Here is a 22,950-nt window from a genome sequence, read left to right as displayed (position 1 = left end):
ACATTAAATATTTTATTCGTTGATTGACAAGAAAAGCATGTTTGGTAAGAATTATGATTTGGTATAGTAGGAGCCAACAATAGGAAATCAAAAACTTCTGCAAAAGAACACACTTGTGTTGGGATCTTTTCAAAAAGATCCTCTAATGTCAAGGCATAATTGTATTCATAATAACCTGGAATAAAAACCTTAATACTTAGTCTTATGCTAAGAGAAACATAAATGCCTATAAGCCTCTGAATCCAACTGGTGTCATTACCTCCCAGTCAAATTGTGCACTGCAAACAGAGCAGTCTCTGAGACGACCCTGCTTCAGGCTATGGCAGGTTGTCTGAGGGGAAATTAACTGTGGATTGAGTATTCTGAGCAGTGGAATGCTGGTAACTCTTTAACAACTGACTTTTCAGAGGGAAAACAAAGCCCTAGTCTATAGCATTTGCCAATTTCCATGGTGAAAATACTCATCATGGCTGATTTCAAGCTCCCAATATGGCGTCACTGAATATTAGACTTGGAAAAAGATACCCCAAGCCAGCTCTTCCAAGCCAGTGTAAGTTAGCTCCAGCACACCACTGATTCTAAGGCTGTCCTTTTGTGGACATCCAAAAAGCAAGTATGCAAACTGCAGAGGAAGATGGGCTCATGTGTGTGTGTGTGCACACAAGCTTCTTTCAGAAACATGAGGCCAAGATTTAGAAAAGTGACACGAAGCACTAAGAATTATTTGTAAAGCATGAGAGAAGGAAAAAAATATACACAAATATAAGGCTAGTCAACCAGCTAATAAAATATATCCACTTTTGGTACTATATTTGCAAAACCTTCTGAAGTTCCATTAGCCAGCCAGGCTGATGTGATTGTATCAGGAGAGCCAGAACCCCAGAATTATAGACCATTAATCCCTCAGGGGTCATTCAACTAGCTCCTGCAAGGTGTGAGATTTTATTAAGGTAGGTATAGAATGAGAAATGTGCCAGTATCTGAACTTGGGTCAAACACCTGAAGATTTGTCTTTTGCTTGGTCCAAATCCTTTTGCATCGGATACTCCATTGTTCTTTGTTGTGCTTTGTTTCCCCAGGACCTAACTACGAAGTGCAAACATGTACAGGTCTGGTGACCCACAACACTGGGAACAAGCTTAAAACAATTGAGAGCTTGTTGCAAGTCAATTTAGTTTGTCTTTTAAAACAATCTCTTTCTGGTAGGTGTATTGCAAGTGGTGTGCATGCATGTGTGTGTGTGTGTGTGTGTGTGTGTGTGTGCAGGCATATACCTGGACATCTGTACTATTTCACCAAGGCCCTGCCACTCCCTCCTCCCCAGCCTAATCCCTGTACCTACATCAGAGAGAAGAGGCATGGATGGGGGCTCACTAAGGGTTCTCATTCATCATGAGAAGGCTGGCCTTTTAAATTTAATTAATTGAAAGACCTACTCTGAAAGGTTATATGTACCTCATTGGTATGACTTATGCACAATAATAATCCCAACAAAAGCTATAAAAAAAGCTCCCAGGTTTGAGTGTGTCAGCCTGGTAAGAAAAGGTGCACAATAGGCTCTTTCCATGTCAGACAAAAGAGGCCATCAACTGTGCTGTGTGAGGGGTACTGTATCCCTGCTTCCACGTATTTCTGTTATCCTGACTCCAGAATGTCTGTCTTTAACCCAGAACGTGTTGGGCTTTCAGAATTCAGCCTCTCAGAAAAGACAGCTGGATTCATAATAACAATACCAAAAGGTCTGTCTTAGTCTTTTTGGGCTGCTATAACAAAATACCACATACTGAGTAGCTTATAAACAAAAGAAACATTTCTCACAGTTCTGGAGGCTGGGAAGTCCAAGATCAGGACATCAGTAGATTCAGTGTCTGTTGAGGGCCTGCTTCCTAGGTGGCAGTCTTTTCACTATAACCTCACATGGCAGAAGGAAAGACCCAGCTCTCTGGGCTCCATTTTATTAGGGCACTGATATTAATCACAAGGGCTCAGCCCTCATAACCTAATCACTTTGCAAAGGCTCCATCTCCTAATACTATCACCTTGGGGATTGGAATTTCAACATAATAATTTTGACATGAACACAAACAATCAGACCACAGCAAGGTCATTTTGAATAAACCTTTGCAGTTCACATACTTTCACTGTAAATTAGATGACATAATGAATGTATGTTGTGTCAGAAAAATAATCTACAACAACCTGCTGCTCCTGACACTGGAACAAATAGATGTTATAGAAGAGCTTGGTCACTCTCTTTAATTCTAACCCTAAAGGTTAAGAATATACACACAAAACTTTCTTAATAACAAATGTGGTTTTGTATTTCATTTATCTAACTAAAAATTTTAGACTATACTAATTTTTTCAGCCAAGATGAACCATGTCAGCCAAATTTTAACTCTACATATAAATAAAACAATTTCCTAAGTCTAGCTTTTAAAATTTCAAGGGAGTGCTTAGCCAGGAGTTTAATACAATTTATTAAATTGAATAAAACTAAAGCTCATGAACATAGTTTTATAAATGCTAATCATGTCTGTCTTTCAGCCCTAATTTCTATATCAAAAAGTTCACAATTGCTACAGCTTCTTATCTGATTATATATTTTATCACTGTTTTGCTGTTAATAATTTTCCCCTTAAATTCTATTTGCCTCATATTAATGCTGCTACATCAGCTATATTTTAAAATTTGGTCAGTATTATTTACCTAGTATACCTTTTTTCTCTACATATCTGTATCATTTTGTTTTATATGTCCTTTTAAAGTAGCATATGGTTGGATTTTGTTTTTAATTCATTCCCATAGTCTTTATCTTAAGCTAATGGATAGAGATAATCCATCATTGTAATTCGTCTTATATATGAATTTATACCTACATTTCACATTGTTTTTTCTGTTATCATCCTTTTCATCTGCTTCTTCACTTCCCCATTCCTGTCTTCTGTTGAATTGATAGGATTTTCTATATCCCCAACTTTTGTCTTCCATGGAAAGTATGGAAACTAGAGTTATATTTATATTATTTTTAACTTTTTATTGGGAGATAATTATAGATCTACATGGACTTGTAAGAAATAATACAGAGAGATCCTGTAAACACTTAATTTTCCTCAGTGGTAGTATCTTTCATAACTGTAAGGATAATATCACAACCAGGATATCAACATTGTTAAAATCCAGTGACCTTATGCAGATTTCATCGTTTTTACATGCATTCGTGTGTATGTGTTCACTTCTGTGTGATTTTATCCCATGTGCAGATTCATGTATTTTCGTAATGACTTTAAATGTATAACATACACACCAAACTATAAACTTGCATATTTGACTAATTAGAGTTAGGGTTCTTTTGCTTTACTGAAATCATATGCTGTAGTTATTTGTACTTTATAATCTATTGTTAATTACGTTTACTAGCATATTTTATTAATTCCTATGTTTATTGCTTTTTTTTCTGTCGCTTGGATTTCCTTTCTTCTTGAATAGATACAACCTTTAACAGTGAAGGTCTGTGCTTGGTTAACTCTCCTTTTATTATGCATAAAAATGTCTCTATTATTTTGCATTCAATCTTGAATGATAATTTAGATGGGTATAAAATTCATGATTGAAAATGATATCCCTTAGTATTTTGAAATTTTAAATCCAGTTTTCTGGCATTTATCATTGATGAGAAATCTCTCTTTGTATCATATCTTTGCCAATAATCTGTCTTAAAGGTTTATCCCTGTGTAACTCACACACCAATGATAGATCATTTCCATCACAGCAGAAAGTTTTATTCTGCTGTGTGCAGTTGACTCTGCCTCCACCTCCTGCTCTCAACAAGCACTGATCTGCTGTCACTGTAGATAACTTGTTCTAGAATGCCATATAAATGAACTCATATAGCATGTACTCATTTGTGTCTGCCTTATTTTACTCAGCATAATGCTTTTGGGATTCATCATGTTGTTATATATATCAGTAGCTTGCACCTTTTTTAAATTGCTGAGTAGTTATTCGTTATATGGATGTATCACATTTTATTTGTCCATTCATAAGTTGATGGATAGTTGGGGTTAATATTAATAAAGCTGCCATGAATAGTCACATACAAAAAAAAAAATCTTTTTTTTCTCCCTGGTAGTTTCTAGGATTTTATTTTTTATTTCTGATTGTCTACATGTTCATTCTGACGTTAAGTTATAGATTTATTTTAGTTTATCTTTATTAGCATTTAATAAGTACTTTCAATTTGTGGACACATTTCTTAAAATCTGGAAAGGTTTTAGCTATTACCTCTTTCAATATTGTTTTCTTCCATTCCCTCTTGCTTCTCTTCTGAAATTTCAACTGACATTTGTTGGAGCCTATCAGTCTATCCACCGTGTATCTGAACCTCTCTTTCGTATTTTACTCTGGGCTCTCTATGCTTCATTCCAGGGTAATTCTTTCAGCACTACTCTCCAGTTCATTGATTCTTTATTTGTGTCCAGCCTGTTGTTTAAATTGTTTATTACATTTAAAAATATTAATAACATTTTTTTATGTCGAGAATTTCAAACTGAATGTTAGTATAGCTAGATGACCTTGTTTTTATTTTTGCCTCTTTTTCTTTCACATATTGTTCTTTTTATGAGTATTATGGGCATACTAAATATACCTATTTTAATATATTTCTCAGACTGATAGACTGTTTTAACTTCTGGACTTAATTCATGTTAATTATCAATTTTTTTGTTGTTAGCATCAAATGTCTTTGTGAATTTTACAAACCAAAAAGTCTTTTGAAAGATTTGCAGGATTATTTCGAAGTTTTAGTTTGGTTGTTTTGTTTTGATTTCTCCCTTCCTCTGTGCTCCAAACTTCCTGTCTAGAAGTTTAGGAGTTGCCCTCATCCACCTGTCTGAGCCACAGCCCAAAGTTAGGTCTTATATTATTATCCAGACCTGCTTTTCAGTATAATTATCTTCATTTCTGTCTCCTGGTCAACAGGACATTTCATGAGGCTCCGTGTTGTCCCACTATGCCTGCAATCCCCCTTGGTTACGTAAGCTGTAGATGTTAGCAGCAGTTTTTTACAGCTTCTCCTCATGAGAAATGGGTTAGCACCCAGGCTTCAAACACTGACGTTGGTGCTAGACTCCACCTCAGGTGAAGGGCTTTGGTCTCCCTTATTCTGCAGGAACCAGACTGCACCTACCCCTGCCTGCTTCCAATCCCAAAAGCAGTGAACCCACATCTCCAACCTAACTGCTGTTTTACATTGTTATTCCATTTCTGGTCTCGGGAAATTTCATAGGGAATTGTAAGCCAGCTTTGGTTATTTGCCTTTTCCTTTTATTTTATTTATTTATTTTGGAAACAAGGTCTCTCTATGTTGCCCAGGCTGGCTTCCAACTCCTGGGTTCAAGAAATCCTCCCACCTCAGCCTCTAGAGTAACTGGAACTACAAAAGTACACCACTGCATCCTTCTTCTATTTTATCTTCTATTTTGTCAATCATTTCTGTATGCTTAGAGCACAGAGAATACTTCAAAGTCTGAGTTTACTGCACCATCCTACCCATTTACAACAATGAAAATTAACATTTGCTCAACATTTGTGTGCCAGGCATTCTTCTTAGTCTTTTTATATCTTACTTCACTTAATACTTAAAACACCTTCTGTGAGGCAGGTGCTCTCCTATATCAACATTTAAATGAGAGTAAATAAATACTCTCCAGAATTTAAATAACTTGTTTTATATAAGTATTCTGGCAAGTGGAAAAATGGGCTTCAAGTCCAGGATGTCAGACTCCAAAGCCTCAATATAATAAAGACATGATAATGTCTCCTCTTAATAACCTGAAATTACTGGCTTTATGGCCCTATAGAAGAATCTACAGGAGTAGGAATGGCATGAGCTGTGAATCTGCATTACTGGTTTCTAGTTAGAGCTTGATGTTCCTGCCCAAATCTCATGTTGAAATGTAATCCCCAGTGTTGGAGGTGGGGGCTGTAGAAGCTGATTGGATCATGGAGGTGGATTCCTCATGAATGATGTCATATCATCTCCTTGGTGCTGTCCTCAAAATAGCGAGTTCGTGTGAGATCTGGTCATTTAAAAGTGTGTGGCACCCTCCCTCTCTCTCTTGCCATGTGACATGCCTGCTCCCTCTTCACCGTCCAACATGATTGTCAGTTTCCTGAGGCCTCCCCAGAAGCCAAGCAGATACCAGCATCATGCTTCCTGTACAGTCTGCAGAACCATTAGCCAATTAAACCTCTTTTCTTTATAAATTACCCATTGTTCGGTATTTCTTTATAGAAATATAGCCTAACACAGAGTTATTTTACTAACTACCAGATGGGAAAGTCACTGAAGCAACTTGCGTCTTTACTTTTTTATAAAATGGGATTAGTAACAAGTAATTTTTCTCCCTGATTCCTTATGAAGGTCAAAAAATAATGAATTTAAAGCATCTTTTAAAAATATGCTATATATTCATAATGTTTTACATCGATGTCAAGCTTTTATTCCTGTATTGAAACCAAGAGATGTCATCAGCAAAGCTTATATTATTTTGTCCGACTATATTGCCTTGCAGTTGCCCACGCCATAGCTCATTTTCTGCTTCTCTACCCACTCAGGAAATCTCATGAGATCTTACTATGGTTTATCCCTGTCAGTTTGACATTTCACTTCCATCTTTAATTTTGGAGATCTCACTGTATACTCTCCAATCCAAATCACTTATGAAACAATTAAACGAACTCTTAAAATTTTTCTGTCTAGAGAAACAATCTTTTTTTTCTACCTTTGGTTTCCTATTAAGCAAATTCTTTATCTATAGCAAAATAAATACCACTCCCACATCACTCCCTGGCTGGTGGTTAATATCTTGACCATTCCACAGATTTTTTGTTTCAGCATTCCTTTCCTTATCAAGGGGGAACATCATAGGAAAGACCAGACTATGGAGTCAAATCCACCTGCTTTGTCATCAACTAGTGGCCCAACCAGGGCCAGGCACTTAGCATCCTCAAGCTTCAGTTTTTTTCATCTATAAGGTGAAGATAATATGTCAATCCTAAAGGAAGGATGCAATGGTTTTGTAAGGCAAAGTATACCAAGTGTCACATAGAGTATCTGGCACATAGTAGGTTTTTGATAAATAAAACCCATCCTTATCAGAATCGGAAGCCCGAAAGCATTGACTTGATGCAAATGTTGAAAAAGCATGTGTTGACTACATTAACCATACTCCAGTGATGCAAATAACTTGCTTCTTTTTTTTCACTTTTATTGTACTGTCAGGTTCAATAATGCAACAACATAGTCTAATTTTCAATGTTGATAGATGATGATGACTCATTTCAAACTCCAACAAACATGTAGGCCTCATTTTCCAGATAGGCAGTGTTTCTTTTCAAGCTACTTTGATGTCTTTGAAGGGAAAGAAGTGTAGGATCTTGAGTAATGATGGTGAGTGTGATGAAGCCTGCAGAAGTGTCCATTCCGAACCTGGGGACCACGAGTGCTGTCCTTTACAAACCATGTACAAGCTGTTGATTCATTGGTGGCTAGAATGTGCTGTCCAGCCAAATGCAAATCTCTCCTTGAAGAATCACTGACCTCCTCCATTCAGACATGGCATATATTTATTTATTTTTATTTTATTTTGAGACTGAGTCTCACTCTGTCACCCAGGCTGGAGTGCAGTGGCATGATCTTGGCTCACTGCAAGCTCCACCTCCCGGGTTCATGCCATTCTCCTGCCTCAGCCTCCCGAGTAGCTGGGACTACAGGCGCCTGCCACCACGCCCAGCTAATTTTTTATATTTTTAGTAGAGATGGGGTTTCACCGTGTTAGCCAGGATGGTCTCAATCTCCTGACCTCGTGATATGCCCCCCTCAGCCTCCCAAAGTGTTGGGATTACAGGTGTGAGCCACTGTGCCTGGCCCAGACATAGCATTTTATTTGAAATGAGCTTCACATTTTTTTGTGATCATTTTCATAACCTCCATGAGTACAAGACAGAAAGAGTTTCAGCCTGAATATAACTTTAAACCTTTGGCCTAAGCTTTCCTAGACTGAGCAAATACAGGTGCATGTGTATGTGTGTGTGTGTGTGAGAGAGAGAGAGAGAGAGAGAGACAGAGAGAGAGAGAGAGAGAGAGAGAGAGAGAGAGAGAGAGAGAAACAACTACTCAGGGAAAAAGGAACTAACTCGGGGGAGGGGAAAGAGACAAGGGAAGCAGGAGAAAGGAGAGGAAAGCACAGAGAGTTTCATCACTGTCTCCCTTTATCTTCCTCTTAAAGAAATGTCCCCACCACCACAGATGTGTTACCTCGTTAACTGCATATTTCCAGAAAGATGCTCTGTAAAGCAGCAACATACCCTAATTTTCAACACTGATAGATCATGATGACTCATTGCAAACTGCAACCAACATGTAGGCTTCATTTCCCACATAAGCAATGGTCCCTTTCAATGTTAACTTGTTAGCAGCATATTTCCAGAAAGTTGTACAGATTACCGTTGCCATCATATACTATAGGAAGTAGAATTATTTCTTCCTAGAGGAAAGGAGATATAATTGCCCCTTGTTTTTTCATAACTATCTATATTTGTTTGCTCAGTAGATTTCTCTCCAAGTCCCTGAGTCATATCTTCCCAGAACACAAAACTTAAACCTTCTTTGCTTTTTATCAGAAGACTGACATTCTCATATAACATTTCATAATAACGTATTCAAAGGACACATTTAAAATATATGAAATGTATATGAAATAAACTTGTTGAAAACTAAAGATATTACAAGCCTCAAGTTATCTTAATAAAGAGCCACATTAGCTTGCAGAATCAAAATTCAGACTAAGGCCCAGGATGAAGTCCCTTTTCCACTTCTCATACAGGTGGGTTTCAATATTTTCAGGTGATGCCCCAGGATATGATTTTTAATCAGATTACTTCAAATCTGTTTTCCCCTACTTAAATAAAAATGTGCTATGTGGAAAAAAATGTGCTATGTGGAATAATACAATCAAATTTAAAATATGATGACTTCATAGCTGCCATTTATATTCCTCTGAGCTTGGCATCAAACTGAAAATTCCAATAACTTCTGAAAGACTAACATCTCTCTGCTCACCACTTACAGCTATTTCTCAAATGTTTGTGAAACCATTATCCTATCACATTTTAGGGAATTTTCTTCAGTGAAACTAAATTTATGTCTCTATTATTTCTGAACATATGTACAGGTAGGAATTTTATAAAACTATAGTGAAAAATGTTCTGGTATTGATGTGCAGCATTAAAGACCATCTGTCTTCCATATAAAGACGTGTATAACAATAAGATAAAAGCTATGGCTTCCCAATTAAATATTACCCTCAGCTGAAAACCAACAGCTTTCAGTATCAGAATACACTAAAATAAGTTCTTCACTACATCTTCCCACCCACGACCCCTGGAGGCTTCTAAGGAGCCATAATCCAGATATCACTGTGACTTCGTGGCCTCTGTAAGAACTGTATTGGATTAGATTGAGGTCCCTGTGCACCTCCAAGGGCTTGTATTCTCATGGCCACTTTTCCCCTTGTTTTGCTAAACAGACATGAAATTCAGGCCCTTTCTTGGTTTACACACACCCATACCCATACACAATTATGCAAAGCCAACTGTATTGAAGGTTGGAGGACCATTAGGGAAGGTCATATATTCAGTGTATTTCCAACAACTTAGTATCCCACAGTATGTATTCCTGTCCTTAAATATCCCTTGTCCACCCTTTCTCCACCCTCTCCTATCAAGGAGGTTTCTCACTGACCCCTTACCCATGCATTACCCAGCTTCTTCTCCTCATTCCCACCTCTTATACTTCCTGTGCCACCCTTCAAATTCTTTCCCCCAGTTCTTCCTGCAGGTTTGCAGAGCAGTTCCACTCACTCCAGGTCCTGCTCCCTAATGCACTGAAGTGCTCCACGCACAATAGCACCACTGGATCACAGGGACACACTCCTTAGAAAGACCATGAGGTTATACACATCATTTTCCCATTCTACAGTATACATTTCTCCTAAGTTTTGGATTTTTCAAATCATTTTATTTTTCTACAGCTTTTTCATTTTTTTTGTCAGAGACCATCAAATCTTTTTGCAGTTTATAAGAGTTCAGTCTCACATTCTATTGACATAACAAATAAACTGATTTGCTCCCCAAATGGAAATTTTAGAGAATGATACATTTTGTCTCACAAGTTGACTGATAGTTAAATTGCCTGCAGTGAGACTGATAGTAAATTTTCTCTTTTTTATAGGTCCTATTTGTGTTGCCATGATACTTTCTTAAGTCTTGATAAACAAATGCAGAGTCTCCTGCGACTTTGAGAAGCTTAGGAAAACAAATTCTCTCATATCCAAGGAGTAAGGAACTACCGTTAATCAACGCCTGACTCTAAACTAGGTGTTTGCGTCATTACCACATTAAAGTCAGTATGTAGTTTTGGGAAATGTTCCAGAAATGTATAATGAACAACTGTCTCAGCATACACTAGTGTCATCTTTTTGTATCATGTAGCATTTTAAAAAATATAGTGCCCCCATGTAATAGTTATTTTCCTTTCATGATGGAATTCATCCTTTTCACAAACTTTCAAGTATCAGGACCACATTTTAACATCAAAAACTTTCATAGACCACTGTTAATTGGAAAAAGCATTCCAAATGACTGCAACCAATTATGACTTTGGCAGCATTTTCAAATTAATTTTCATTTTATTAGTCACTATGGTACTTACATTAGATACCCAGTCCCTGTAGATGGGATTGTTAGGAGAGGCCTCTCTGTGGAGCTGACGTCTGAGCTGAGAAGTGAAGGAGCTGTCATGGGAAGACCAGAGGAGTATCAAGTGCAAAGGTCTGGAGGTGAGTATAGGCCTGGGACATTCAGAAAAGAGGAAGAGGCCAGTGTAGCTGGATGTAATCAGCCAGGATCAGCATTCAGGAGGCTGGTGTGGACCCGACACTGCAGGGCTTTGAAGCTACTGTAGTCCTTTGAGGGTACTATAACAAAGTACTATAGACTAAGTGGCTTTTAAGCAACAAACATTTGTTTCTCACAGTGCTGGAGGCTGGAGTCTAAGATCGGGTCCCAGCATGGTCAGGTTCCAGTGAGGGCTTTCTTCCAGGTTGTAGACTGTCGTCTTCTTGTTGTAGTCTCACATGGCAGAAAGAGAAGCATGGGAGATCTCTGGACTCTATTTATGAGGGCACTAATCCCATTCATGAGGGCTCCACTCTCACAACCTATTCAACCCCCAAAGGCCCCATCCATCTCCTAATACCTTCACACTGGGGGTTAGGTTTCAACATAGGAATTCTGGGGGGACATAAATGATCAGTTCATAACAGAAGTCAAGGTAAGAAGAAGAAACTTTACTGTAAGGGAAATGAAAAATCATGATAGGATTGAAGCAGAAGAGTGGCATTGATCTGATTTAAGTTTTTACAAGATCACTCTGGCTGCTGCTAGGAGAGACTGTTGGGGGCAAGGGAGAAGGCAGATCTATCAGGGGTTCACTGCCTTAGCCCAGGGGAGAAATGATGGGGCTTGGCCTAGAGTGGGAGCTTCTGAAGGGAGAGAGGAGGGTGTAATGGGGGTATAGGGCATGCACGTGTGTGGCACACAGCATGTGGATCAAGTGTGCACTGTGATGATGATGCTGCTGCACGGACAGCGGGAAGCAGTATCCACTTGACGTATTCATATGTATGGTTACATAGGTGCCTTTTGATAGCACCAGGTCCCTCTTGAGAACGACTGCTTTAAAATACAGCAGTAGGTGTGGCAAGAGACACATTTCCTCCTTTCCATCATCAGGTGAACTTTCTGAAGTACTGCATGAACTATTTTCATCTGCAGAATATTGAAGGTAATTCTTTCACATCAGTGCCTGATGAGGATTAATTAGTGAATGCTTACAGGGTGGTTTAAAATGAAAAATGAAAAAGTATTTAAATGTCAGCTATAGCTCTCACTGTATCATAAGCACTGAGCTCTGACGCTTGCTGAGAATTCCCCTTTCCACAGCTATGCTCACAAGGTGGTAGGAAAGCAGGAGCAGTTTTTTCTAACTGCAATAAACCATCCATCTATCACTCCACACCATTTTCCAGGAAGAAAACAGGAATCAAGTCCCACAGACGGATTCTTCATTATCTTCTAGAAAACTACATAAAATGGTCATTTTTTCCTTTTTGTGAGTCTCACTCTTTTGCCCAGACTAGAGTGCAGTGGCACAGACATAGCTCACTGCAGCCTCGATATCCCAGGCTCAAGTGAGCTGGGATCTGTAGTCCCAGCTACTCAGGAGGCTAAGGTGGGAGGGTCATCAAGGAAAACTGTAGCTTTCCTTGGCTCATGACTTCCTTCCATCTTTAAAACCAGCAGTGTAACATTTTCAAGCCTCGATCTGACTCTGACACTCTGCTTTTGTCATTACTTCTCCTGCTCTGACTTCTTTAGAGACCCTTGTGATGACATTGAGTCCTTGTGATGACACTAGGACCACCAGAGAATCCAGGATAACCTCCCGATCTCAGGTCTTTCACCATGTCTGCCTTGCAAGGGATCCCATTCCAGATTGAGGCAGGGGCGGGGATTAGGATGCAGATGTCATTGGAATTATTCTACCTGCCACACCCACAATCACCAAGCATGAGACTCTTCAGTATTGTGTTGGACATGGAAACAGGTAGTTTATAATTTTTTAAAACATTGCCCAATTCCTTAGAGTTCAAAAGGAACCAACAATCTAAACCACTTAAGGAAAGTGGAGTGATCTCCTCTCTGTTTAAGTAAGGATTCATCTGTACTTCCTGTCAGGGCGTAGGGACTCAGAGGGCTCTCTTACTTCCACTACACCCAGAGAGGCCCATTGAGGAGACTCCTCCCTACCCAAGTGGCTACAGTGCTGTCTGAGTGGATCTGGTGGCAAGCTTGACTACACTGCAGAGACTGCTGTGTGCTGGGCATGAGCTCTGTCCTCCATATGATCAGCTGGCTAGAGGCACCTATATTCAAATTCCATCTGGCTCATTGTTTTACCTGTATGAAATACAGAGGTAGAATGTGTATTCCTGTGTTAATAATCTCTGTTAACTGCATAGCAGCATTATTCTAAAACTTGGTTAATTGAATTAAAAAGTATTTCAGATTTACACTGAAAAAGGAAAAACATTATCAAGCCACACAAATCCAGAACTACACTTTCATTCAGTCACATATTTGTATGGAGCACACTGTGTGCTGGGGAAATAGAAATGAACAAGAGAGATGAAGTCTCAGCCCTTCATGTGATTGGTAGTTGGCATCAGAGCCACGAAGTACATCAGAACGCTGGGGTTGCCTGCTAGATGAACTTCAGGGAAGGCCTCTCTAAGTCAGCACAGCTACTCTGAGCTCTGAAAGATCAAAAGGCAACCATGTGAAGAGTCAGGCAGACCGCTCTAGACAGTTCTAGACCATTCCAAGTAACAGATGCAAAGATCCTGAGGCAGAAAAGACATGAGGATGTTGAAGGAATAATTTAAAATGTCAGTTTGGTGGAGGATGGTGGGCAACAGGGGAAGAGGAAGAAACAACAGGACCAATCAAACAGAGCCTGATCATTTCAGTTTTATTTGAAGATAAATAAGAAATCATTAAAGTTTCAAGCAGAGGAATGACATGGAGAGACTGACATTTGTCTACGACCATTCTGGCTGCTGTATGGAGATGAGCTTGGACACGAGCAAGGGTGGAGACAGGAAGACCCCGTAGGTGGCCAGCACAATCCCCCAGGCAAGACGGCCGATAGTGCCCATGGAGACGACCCGACGGGGACATAGCCAGCATCCTAGTCTGAAGGTGGAATGGACAGGGAGTGCTCCTGGATTACATGTGGTGGGTAGGACAGATGAAGACTTCAGAATGAGTTTTAAGTTTTGGCTTATCAACATGGCAGATGGTAGTCTCATTTATGAAGAAGAGGAAGATCGGGGCAAAACAGATTTGCGGGAGAAAGTTAACACTTCTCTTTTGGATGTTTATTATTAAGAAGCCTGTTAGACACAGAGGTTGAAATGTCAAATAGATTGCTGAATAGACAGTCAGGACAGTAGGACACCAAATGCAAAACTAACATTGTTTCGGCACAGAGTTCCACCTTCCCTGGGCATCACTCTGTCGCCATAGGAGATTTGTTTGTTTGAGATGGAGGTTTGCTCTTGTTGCCCAGGCTGGAGTGCAATGGAGCAGTTTCAGCTCACCGCAACCTCTGCCTCCAGGGTTCAAGCGATTCTCCTGCCTCAGCCTCCCGAGTAGCTGGGATTACAGGCACCCACTACCACGCCCAGCTATTTCTTTTTGGGTTTTTTTGTATTTTTAGTAGAGACCGGGTTTCACCATGTTGGCCAGGCTGGTCTTGAACTCCTGACCTCAGATGATCCACCTGCTTTGGCCTCCCAAAGTACTGGGATTACAAGTGTGAGCCACTGAGCCTGGCCCATAGGAGTTTCTAACAAATTTACCCCACTTCTGGGGATGACCCAGGTTTGCTAGTTGATGAAGGAGACACCCCTGAGTATTACAAATCTGTTTGACCCTTAGGCCTCAGAGCCATCAGTATGAAGTCACTAGTACTGAATATCCAAAACTGTCTTTGGGTACTTGTATATATTTAGTGTGTGACTGGAACAAAGTTTCTAGCACAAGAAGGTACACAAAGTTTTGTTGAATGAATGGTTTCCTTTAATTGCCTTATTTTTTATTGGAGTGAGAATGAGATTAGCAAGTATGAGTCTAACTTTCCATCAAACAAGAAAAGTGGCTGGGCATGGTGGCTCATGCCTGTAATCCCTGCAACTCTGGAGGCTGAGGCAGGAGGATCGCTTGAGCCCCGGAGTTTCAGGCTGCAGTGAGCTATGATCACGCCACTGCACTGGGGCCTGGGTGACTGAGAGAGACGCTGTTTCAAAAAAGACAAGTGACTTACGAATCTGCAGGATAGGCCAGTGCTTCTGAGACCTTAATGCACAATCACTGGGGATCTTGTTGAAATGCAGATTCTGACTCAGTCAGTCCTGGGTCGTGCTTGAGATTCTGCAGGTCTAACAGGCTCCCAGGTGTTGCTGAAGTTGCTAGCTCTCAAATCACACTCAAGTAGCAAGGGAATATGACTTACCCCACTTTTCTCCCATTTCATCAGGCAACCTTTTGTGAAACAAACAACATTCAGTGGGCAAGGCTTCCACAACCAAATATGACCCCAGACTGCTGTTGCCTGTGGACTTCCACAGCAACTGTTTCTGATGCTATCATTTGACATTCAACATTTATTGCCTTATATTTTTAATTGTCATCCCATGCCTATATGTCTTATTTTCCAAACAAAACTAAAAGTGTCTAGAGATCAAGGACAAAGCTCTGTGATTTTTTTGTGTATCTAGCTCCAAGGCTCCATTCTCATACCTTGCACAAGGCGGCTCCCCAAGGAATATTTGTTGATTGACTAATGATGAATTCCTCTGGTAGGGACTGTGGATCCATGAGCATTAGTTAGACTCATGCAGAAATAGAAATATGACTTTGGCCATAAAACTTAAACTTTAAATCTGATAGATTTTAGTTATCCCGACATGCAATAAAGAGATAAAAAGTGTATGTCTATGTGGAATAATTGGCATTAGCTGTAAAACAGGAGTCTTCTAAATGTTGGGCAATTGAAAAAAAGAAAGTATTTCAGAGCACTTGGACCTCTAATTCCTTCTCAATTACAAAAGGATTACATAAAGCTGTACATTCATATTAAAAACACATTAAATAATAATCATGAATATAATCTAAAATAATAAAGTAACTGTAAGTTACTTGATTGATGTGAATTATCTGTAACATTTTCGTGATTATTCCTTAATTTATTGCTCCATAATATGGAAGCTTTTCTGCCTTTCAGTACGCATGGCAGTCTAATCTTATATTTCCTTCCCCTGAACTCACTCACAGCTGAACAGTTTGCTCATATACCATGGCAATGAAAAGAACATTGAGTTATGTGGGAAAACAACCTCAGTGTGGCTGCCACTTGGAACCTAGTGCTGAATTACATACTGCAATTAAGATGAAGACCATTGTCGGAGTGACTGGCATCTCTCCAGGGCCCAGCACTTTCCTTCTGTGCTCCCTGGGAAGGAGTTCCTGGCACAGAACTCAGGATGGTCAGCTTCGGTCTTGGTCCATCTGCGTATATTAGAGGGGCTACTCCTAACGGTAGCTGAGTCCCAGTAACAGCAGAGGGGAAGCAACCACACCTGACTTTTCTCCCCACTTTTTAGGCGTGTCACTTACCCAGTCATTCTTTAACAGCATTTTGAAAGGATCTCTTCTGGGTATAGTGCTGTGCTAGGCTCTATGTGAGATACAGGGATGGGATCTCCCTCTCTAGGAGCTCAGAGTCTACCAAAATGAGCTCTGAGGAGGCTGGGGTCTCACCTGGCTTGGTCACACTGTATCCCCAAATCCCGGAAGGTGCTTGGCTCACAACAGGTGTTCAAAAATGTTTATCAAATGAATAAATGAATAAGACAATGGATGAATAAGTTTAGTGGGTAGCTCAGATATATAAACGATCAGCTTCTGCCTAATAGAGTGCTTATGCAAAATAATACCAAACCTACAATTTGTGGAGCCCTCACTAAGCTGCATGCCACACACTGTTCTACGGACTTTGCACATTATCTATTTTCATCCTTACAACTACCTCTGAGTAGTTGTGATTTTTACACCATTGCACATGTGAGTGGATGGTGTGAAGAGATGGCAAGCATTGTGTCCAAGCTCTCACAGTTAGTGATAAAGTGATAACTCAGATTTAGGTCTGCTGATGCTTGAGGTCCTAACCAATGCACTCTATTGCTCTCTCCAGACTTTATTAATAGCCAGAGATTCCAAGTTGAGGATCCCAGTTTAAGAAGGAAAAGCAGTGGGTAATTTTTAGCCATGGGACATGATAACAAAAACAATCTTTATCCTGCTGTTAGATCATCCTGCTTTCCACAGGGCTTCCCACAGTCCGAGTCCAAGGAAGATGCAGAGAAGAGGCCCTGAGCTGACTCATCCACTGGTCAGAAGATTCTAGATGACAGAGCTTTCCTCAGAGAATTCCAATTTTCATTAGCAGGCTGAAGACAGGTGGTACTCCTTCAAGACAGGCTACAACAGAATACCTTGCTTTGAGCACTTTTAAATATGAGAATCTCCTAATGACAGCAGAATTAAAGAGTGGGGACAAAAATAGTCAAGATTTTTTAAAAAGTAAACTTTTTTCAGTGCACTAATTTCTATATAATGTAACAGATATTTCTATATCATATGACAAAGGAAGCTGTCATATACACCATGAATATTTGATATAAATCACAGACTTATAAATTCTAAGATTATAATCAGATTACTTAACCAGCATTTACTTGGGGCATGACTGCAGAGCTAGCTGCAGATGCAATGGTGCAGGTCTGACTGGAGAGCAGGAGTTGGGGACATTGCAGAGTCAGAGAATCCCCAGAGTCCCCAGCATCTGGGATGGGAACAGCTTAGAATGAGAGGTGGGACAACACCCAAAACAAATGTTACTTCCCTTACAGTTGTGCCCATTAGATGTTTTGGAATATCCTTTCTCTACGCTGAGCCACTGCCTCACGTTTTTAGACTCCGCAGCTTCGCTCCCTGGAGGGGAACATTGTAGGTTGAGGGGTGGTGCCTCTCTCTCGGCATTGTGTGATAGTCCAGGACAGTTGGGCCCGTGGAATTGTATTAAATCAGTGGAAGGAGGGTTTACTACACTTAGCTTAGCAAATGGCTTACGTGGTTCTCAAAGTCATCCCCACATCAGCAGCATCAGTTAAGCCAGGGGTCTGCAATTTTTTCTTTAACAGTCTAGAGAATAAATACTTTAGGCTTTGTGGGCCAAGAAACAAAATTGAGCATCTTATCTGGGTAGTTATTATATAACAAGGGAGAAAAACAAAATTCCACTAAGTTTTCATTGATGAAATTCAAACTGTAATATTGGGTACAATTTTTGTGTAATGCAGGTCTACTAATGAAAAGAATGTAATTGTGAGGGGGGACAGAATTTTGCTTAATTGGGGTTCAAAATTAGTGTTGCCTATCATGGAATCATTTGCAAAGGTTCATCTGTAAAAACTATTACTAATTTGCAGACCTTACAAAAACAGGTGAAAACATGGATTTGGCCCTAGGGCTAGACCTGGGAACTGGTTAGAAATGCAAATTATAAGGCCCACTCCAGATCTACTAAATTAGAAAGTCTGGGGGTGGGGCTGGTAACTTGTTTCTTAACAAGCCCTCTAGGGTATTCCGATGCACGCTACTATTTGAGAACTACTGGTTTAAAATAAATGTGGAAGGGCCAGAGTTAGCCTTGCCCACCCTGTTATTACCATGGTAACGTGCATTTCTCAATCACGGTCTTCAGCTCAATCTTCCCATTACCATTATTTCAATGAGTTTGGGTGTATATTTACATTTTTAAAAATAACCTTTTGGGTCTTAGGCAACTTAAGAAACATGGCACGCCCACACCCACTCTGCAATTTCTAAACAGAGGAGCAGGAACTCCTCTGGGAAGTGGCTCAAAGCCAGCAAGGAGAAAGCACTTCTCACCAATGCTGGGAGCATAAGCTCTCAGGCAAGTCGTCCTCAGTAGGTATCCCTAGATATCCGTAATAGAAGTTGTGACTTCTCACCTTTACAATTGTTACCTCAGCACTACCTCTGGCCAGTGAAAAATAAATGGAGCTACAACATAGAGGCTGTTTCTTGATTGAATTGGCGGGCTCAGTGTTATCACCATTTCAAATGATTTATAAATAATATTTTTGTAGCAAACTCAGAGGGAAGAACTATAGAGACTGTCCCCTGGGTTAATTCCCTTCCCACTCTGACTCATGTTTTTCTCTCTAAACCTCTGCCTCCATTTCTCCATGTGTATGATGGAAACAATCAATAAAACCTCATTGACAGGTTTGTCTTGAGAATAAAATTAGGTTTGGGAAGGTCTCAGCAGTTGATGAATGCTGAGAATTATTCTTACATATGATCGACCTAACAGACTGACAAGCTGATGTTGACGTTGACAAAAAGCGGGTAGAGAACCTATTATCCATGCAGTATCTCTCCTGTGGCTAAACACACCACTTCCTTCTCCATCTGGCATCTTTTAGGCATACAGAATTTTTTTTGCCACAAAATTCAAATAGCTCTTTCGACCCATTGGGCAGGAAGCCGGTGCAAACATTTCAAATAGGTTCCCCACCAGCCTGACCCCACCACTACTCACTCTGAAATTCAGATCCCTTGAGTCGCTTGGGGGTTAGATAACAAAAGGAGAAGGTGGAGGCCATTGTCTGTGGGAGAGCTTGGCAAGTCTTCTAGGAGCAGCTTCCAGAAGATTCCTCTTAATATAATTAATTGATCAAATTACCTGGATAACACCTAAGAAGTCCTATAGAGTCAGACCCAAGTGGATGAGAGGTGGGATTTTTACTATTCTTGTTTTAGAATTATGGGGTAAAACCGGGAAGGCTGCAGACATCAGAGGAGAGCTCTATATTCTCCTACTTTAAAATGTTGCCTAAGACAAGCAACAAACTCAATGTACTTTGCCCTCTGAGAGAGCTCAGAATCCTTGTCCTCAGGAATCATGCGATCAATGCAAAGGTAAGACAAAAACCCCCAAGTAGGCAATGTCTAAGTGAGGGTTGATGGAGGTGCTTTTAACAGGAGGTGGAAACTGAGGAGGTGGAGGAGAATTTGGAAAATGTATCCTGAGGCAAAAATTTAGCTCTGCATCTACTTAAAAAATCAAACTAGCTAGAGTACAACTTCTTTTAACTGGCACTGAAACTGAAGAAAACAAGAAGGAGAAATAATAATGATTTGAAGAAAATTAAGCTGTGAAAAGAACTCCATAGAACACGACTATAAAAGACTTCTTTAAAAAAAAAGGACATACTGGAATTATGGGTGAATCCATAATTGTCTCAAAATGTTTTGTCTTAATAGATGACACTGTTAATTATTATTTTTGAATTCCCACTTCATGCTAAGCTTGGTACTGAGGTTGTATCCATGGTGTATATTTGTTATCTTCGATTCTTTTATTATGAAACTGAGATGAAGCAGGGACCCCTGCTTTCAAAGGAAAATCTTGAGTTCCTTCAAGGGAAATTCCAGGCACCTAGCTATTCCTAAGAAGTAAATGAGCAACTTGGTAAGTGAGAAGGTAACAGTAGCTTAAAACAATAGCCAAGGAAGCTAGAATCAGGAGACATTGGTTCCCTCGAGAAAGTGAAGATAATGTTATAATATATGTCCCTGAGTTTTCAGAAACTCAGACCCCCACCAAATGGACCCACTGGCACGGAGACCTCAGATGACGGGGGGCTGTAGACTGAACTCTGACTGCCATGCGTTGTTCGAAGTTTCTTTCTGAGGGGCGTGGAGGAAGCAACAACCACGAGTCAGATCTCATATTCTTTTCTGCTGATTCCAAGTCTTTAGACAAAGATTCCCTTCTTTAACCAATTGCAAATCAGAAAATCTTTGAATCTGTCTATGACCTGTAAGACCCCACTTCAAGATATTCTGCCTTTTTAGGCCAAACCAATGTATAACTTCCATATATTGATTTATGATTTTGCCTATAATTTGTTTTCCTGAAATTTATCCCTTCTGTTAAAAACCCTTACCTGCAAGCCATTGGGGAGTTTGAGTCTTAAGTGTGAGCTGCTGTATTCTCCTTGCTTGGCACTCTGCAAATAAAACACCTTCTTTTCTCCCACTGCATAAACTCAGTGTGCATGTTTGGCCTTACTGCACTGGGCAAGCAGGCCCCAGTTTGGCTGGGTAACAAAAGCCAAGAATTTTAAAACAGAAAGTACCTCAGTCTATTCCCAGAAATAATTCAGGTGGCTTTTAGATGTCAACTTATTTCAGGCCTGTATTAGTCTATTTGTACACTACTATAAAGAACTACCTGAGACTGGGTTATTTATATAGAAAAGAGATTTAATTGACTCACAGTTCCATAGGCTTATCAGGAAGCACAACTGGGAGGCCTCAGGAAACGTACAATCATGGCAGAAAGCAAAGGGGAAGCAGGCACCTTCTTCACATGGCAGCATGAGAGAGGAAGAGAGAGCGAAGATGGAAGTGCCACAAAAGTTTTAAACCCTAAGATCTTTGAGAACTCAGTCACTATCATGAGAACAGCAAGAGGGAAATCTGCCCCCATGATCCAATCACCTCCCACCAGGCCCCTCCTCTAATTCGACATGAGATTTGGGTGGGGACACAAATCCAAACCATATCAAGGCCCGATTGTATCAGGAGCTAACTGGTTCTGAGAATCTTCTAATCCCGAGCCTCTGGTAAAGCAATGAACATTGACCACTGACGACAAACAATGCTTTTGTTCTAATTTGTTTCCTAACTTGCAAGCAAGTAGTGATAAGAGGGAATGGACAAAAATGGAGTTTTCAAAAGTGAATTCTAGCCACGGGCTAAGTAAGCCTTGCTTCCTCCCCAGCTTCAGAATCCTGAAATGACTTTGGCTAAACTGCAAAGTTTCATGTGGCTCTGTTTCTTTATTTGAAAATGGCTTTGGTATTTTATATTTTGCAGTTATATATTAATTATCTTGTAGTTAGCTTAAGAGTTCTCACTGTTCTTAGTAACATTTTGTTTTTTATTATAATTACAAAAGGTATCTATGGTCTCTTTAATAACGTTTGACAATAAAAGAAAAATACACAAAGAAATTTTAAAAATATTACCCATGAAGTCCCATCACCCAAGATATATATGCCAAGCAATTTTTAAATGGGTTTCTTTACTGTCTCTTTGATTCTGAGCTCTAGTAAATGGAAAACTAAAGTTCTGAGAAGCCAGAGCTTGTCTGATGCAACAGTGTGAATGTGGAATTCCCCTTCTATTTTGTTTGAGTTAAGGAATGCATTTGGATGCAAGTCACCAAAAAAACCCTATCAATAATGACTTAATCAAAGAAGGGAGGGTTGCTTTTCACATAATAAGAAATTGGAAATCGGTGGGGCAGGATTGAGACACTGGCACAGGGATGCACCAGGAACTCAGGCTCTCTTCTGTGCTGTATTGTTCTAAGCAAGCTGGAATTTATTCCCAGGCTAGAAGGTTAAATTTAAATAATAAATACAAGTTTTCTCAGAAGCCATCCCCTGCAGACTTCTGCTTCTAACATGTAGTCAGAACTGGGCCACAGAGCTCAGTGATGTGATGTGAGATAATGTGGATATCTGGCTTCCCAACCTGTAGAGCAGAAGACAAGGAAAGGTTTAGCAGCAACTTTTAGGTAGCCAAACAGCAGTATCTGTTGCACACACCTATAAGTTTCCAATTTCCAAAATCATTTACATTTGAATTATACATTTTTTAATTCTAATATTCTCTTTTCACTTAGTATATCATGAACATTTCATGTCAACATTATATGTAGTTACTCTACAGCAGGGATCAGCAAGCTATGAACTATAAGGCAAAGCCATCGCATTGCCTGTTTTTGCAAATAAACGTATTGAAACACACCCACACATCACTCATTCTTACACATTGCCCATGGCTGCTTTTGCACTACAGTGGCAGAGTTGAATATTCTGATAGAGACCATAGGGTGGGCAAAGCCTAAAATAGTTACTGTCTGTTTTTTTTGCAGAAACAGTTTGCTGACCTTAACTCTACAGCATTGTTTTTAATGGATGCTGATTTTTTCATACAATAGATGGATAGAGATGGATAGCTTATAAATGATCTAACCAATTCTCTACTTTTCAAAATTGAAGTTTTTCTAGTTTTCACCATTTTCAAGAAAGTAATGAT

At 39.8% G+C, this 22,950-nt stretch overlaps 2 long non-coding RNA genes across 6 annotated transcripts in view; both read right to left on the bottom strand.

Moving 5' to 3' along the window:
• LOC121725015 (uncharacterized) overlaps positions 1–22,950 on the bottom strand; it is a 93,648-nt gene that overhangs the window by 58,041 nt on the left and 12,657 nt on the right. The window lies entirely within an intron of this gene.
• MIR3976HG (MIR3976 host gene) overlaps positions 16,927–22,950 on the bottom strand; it is a 165,609-nt gene continuing 159,585 nt past the window's right edge. For 3 of the 4 annotated variants that reach the window (NR_172498.1, NR_172503.1, NR_172497.1), the window contains one exon: positions 21,085–22,383. This is a non-coding gene — a long non-coding RNA (MIR3976 host gene). Of the gene's footprint in view, positions 17,227–21,084; positions 22,384–22,950 lie in introns of those variants that run through there. The other variant, NR_172496.1, reaches the window with a different exon arrangement.

This window comes from Homo sapiens, chromosome 18 (genome assembly GCF_000001405.40).
Source record: "Homo sapiens chromosome 18, GRCh38.p14 Primary Assembly".
Lineage (NCBI taxonomy): Eukaryota > Metazoa > Chordata > Mammalia > Primates > Hominidae > Homo > Homo sapiens.
The sequence above is the reverse complement of the archived record's forward strand: the minus strand, read 5'-3'. Positions and strand labels throughout refer to the sequence as shown.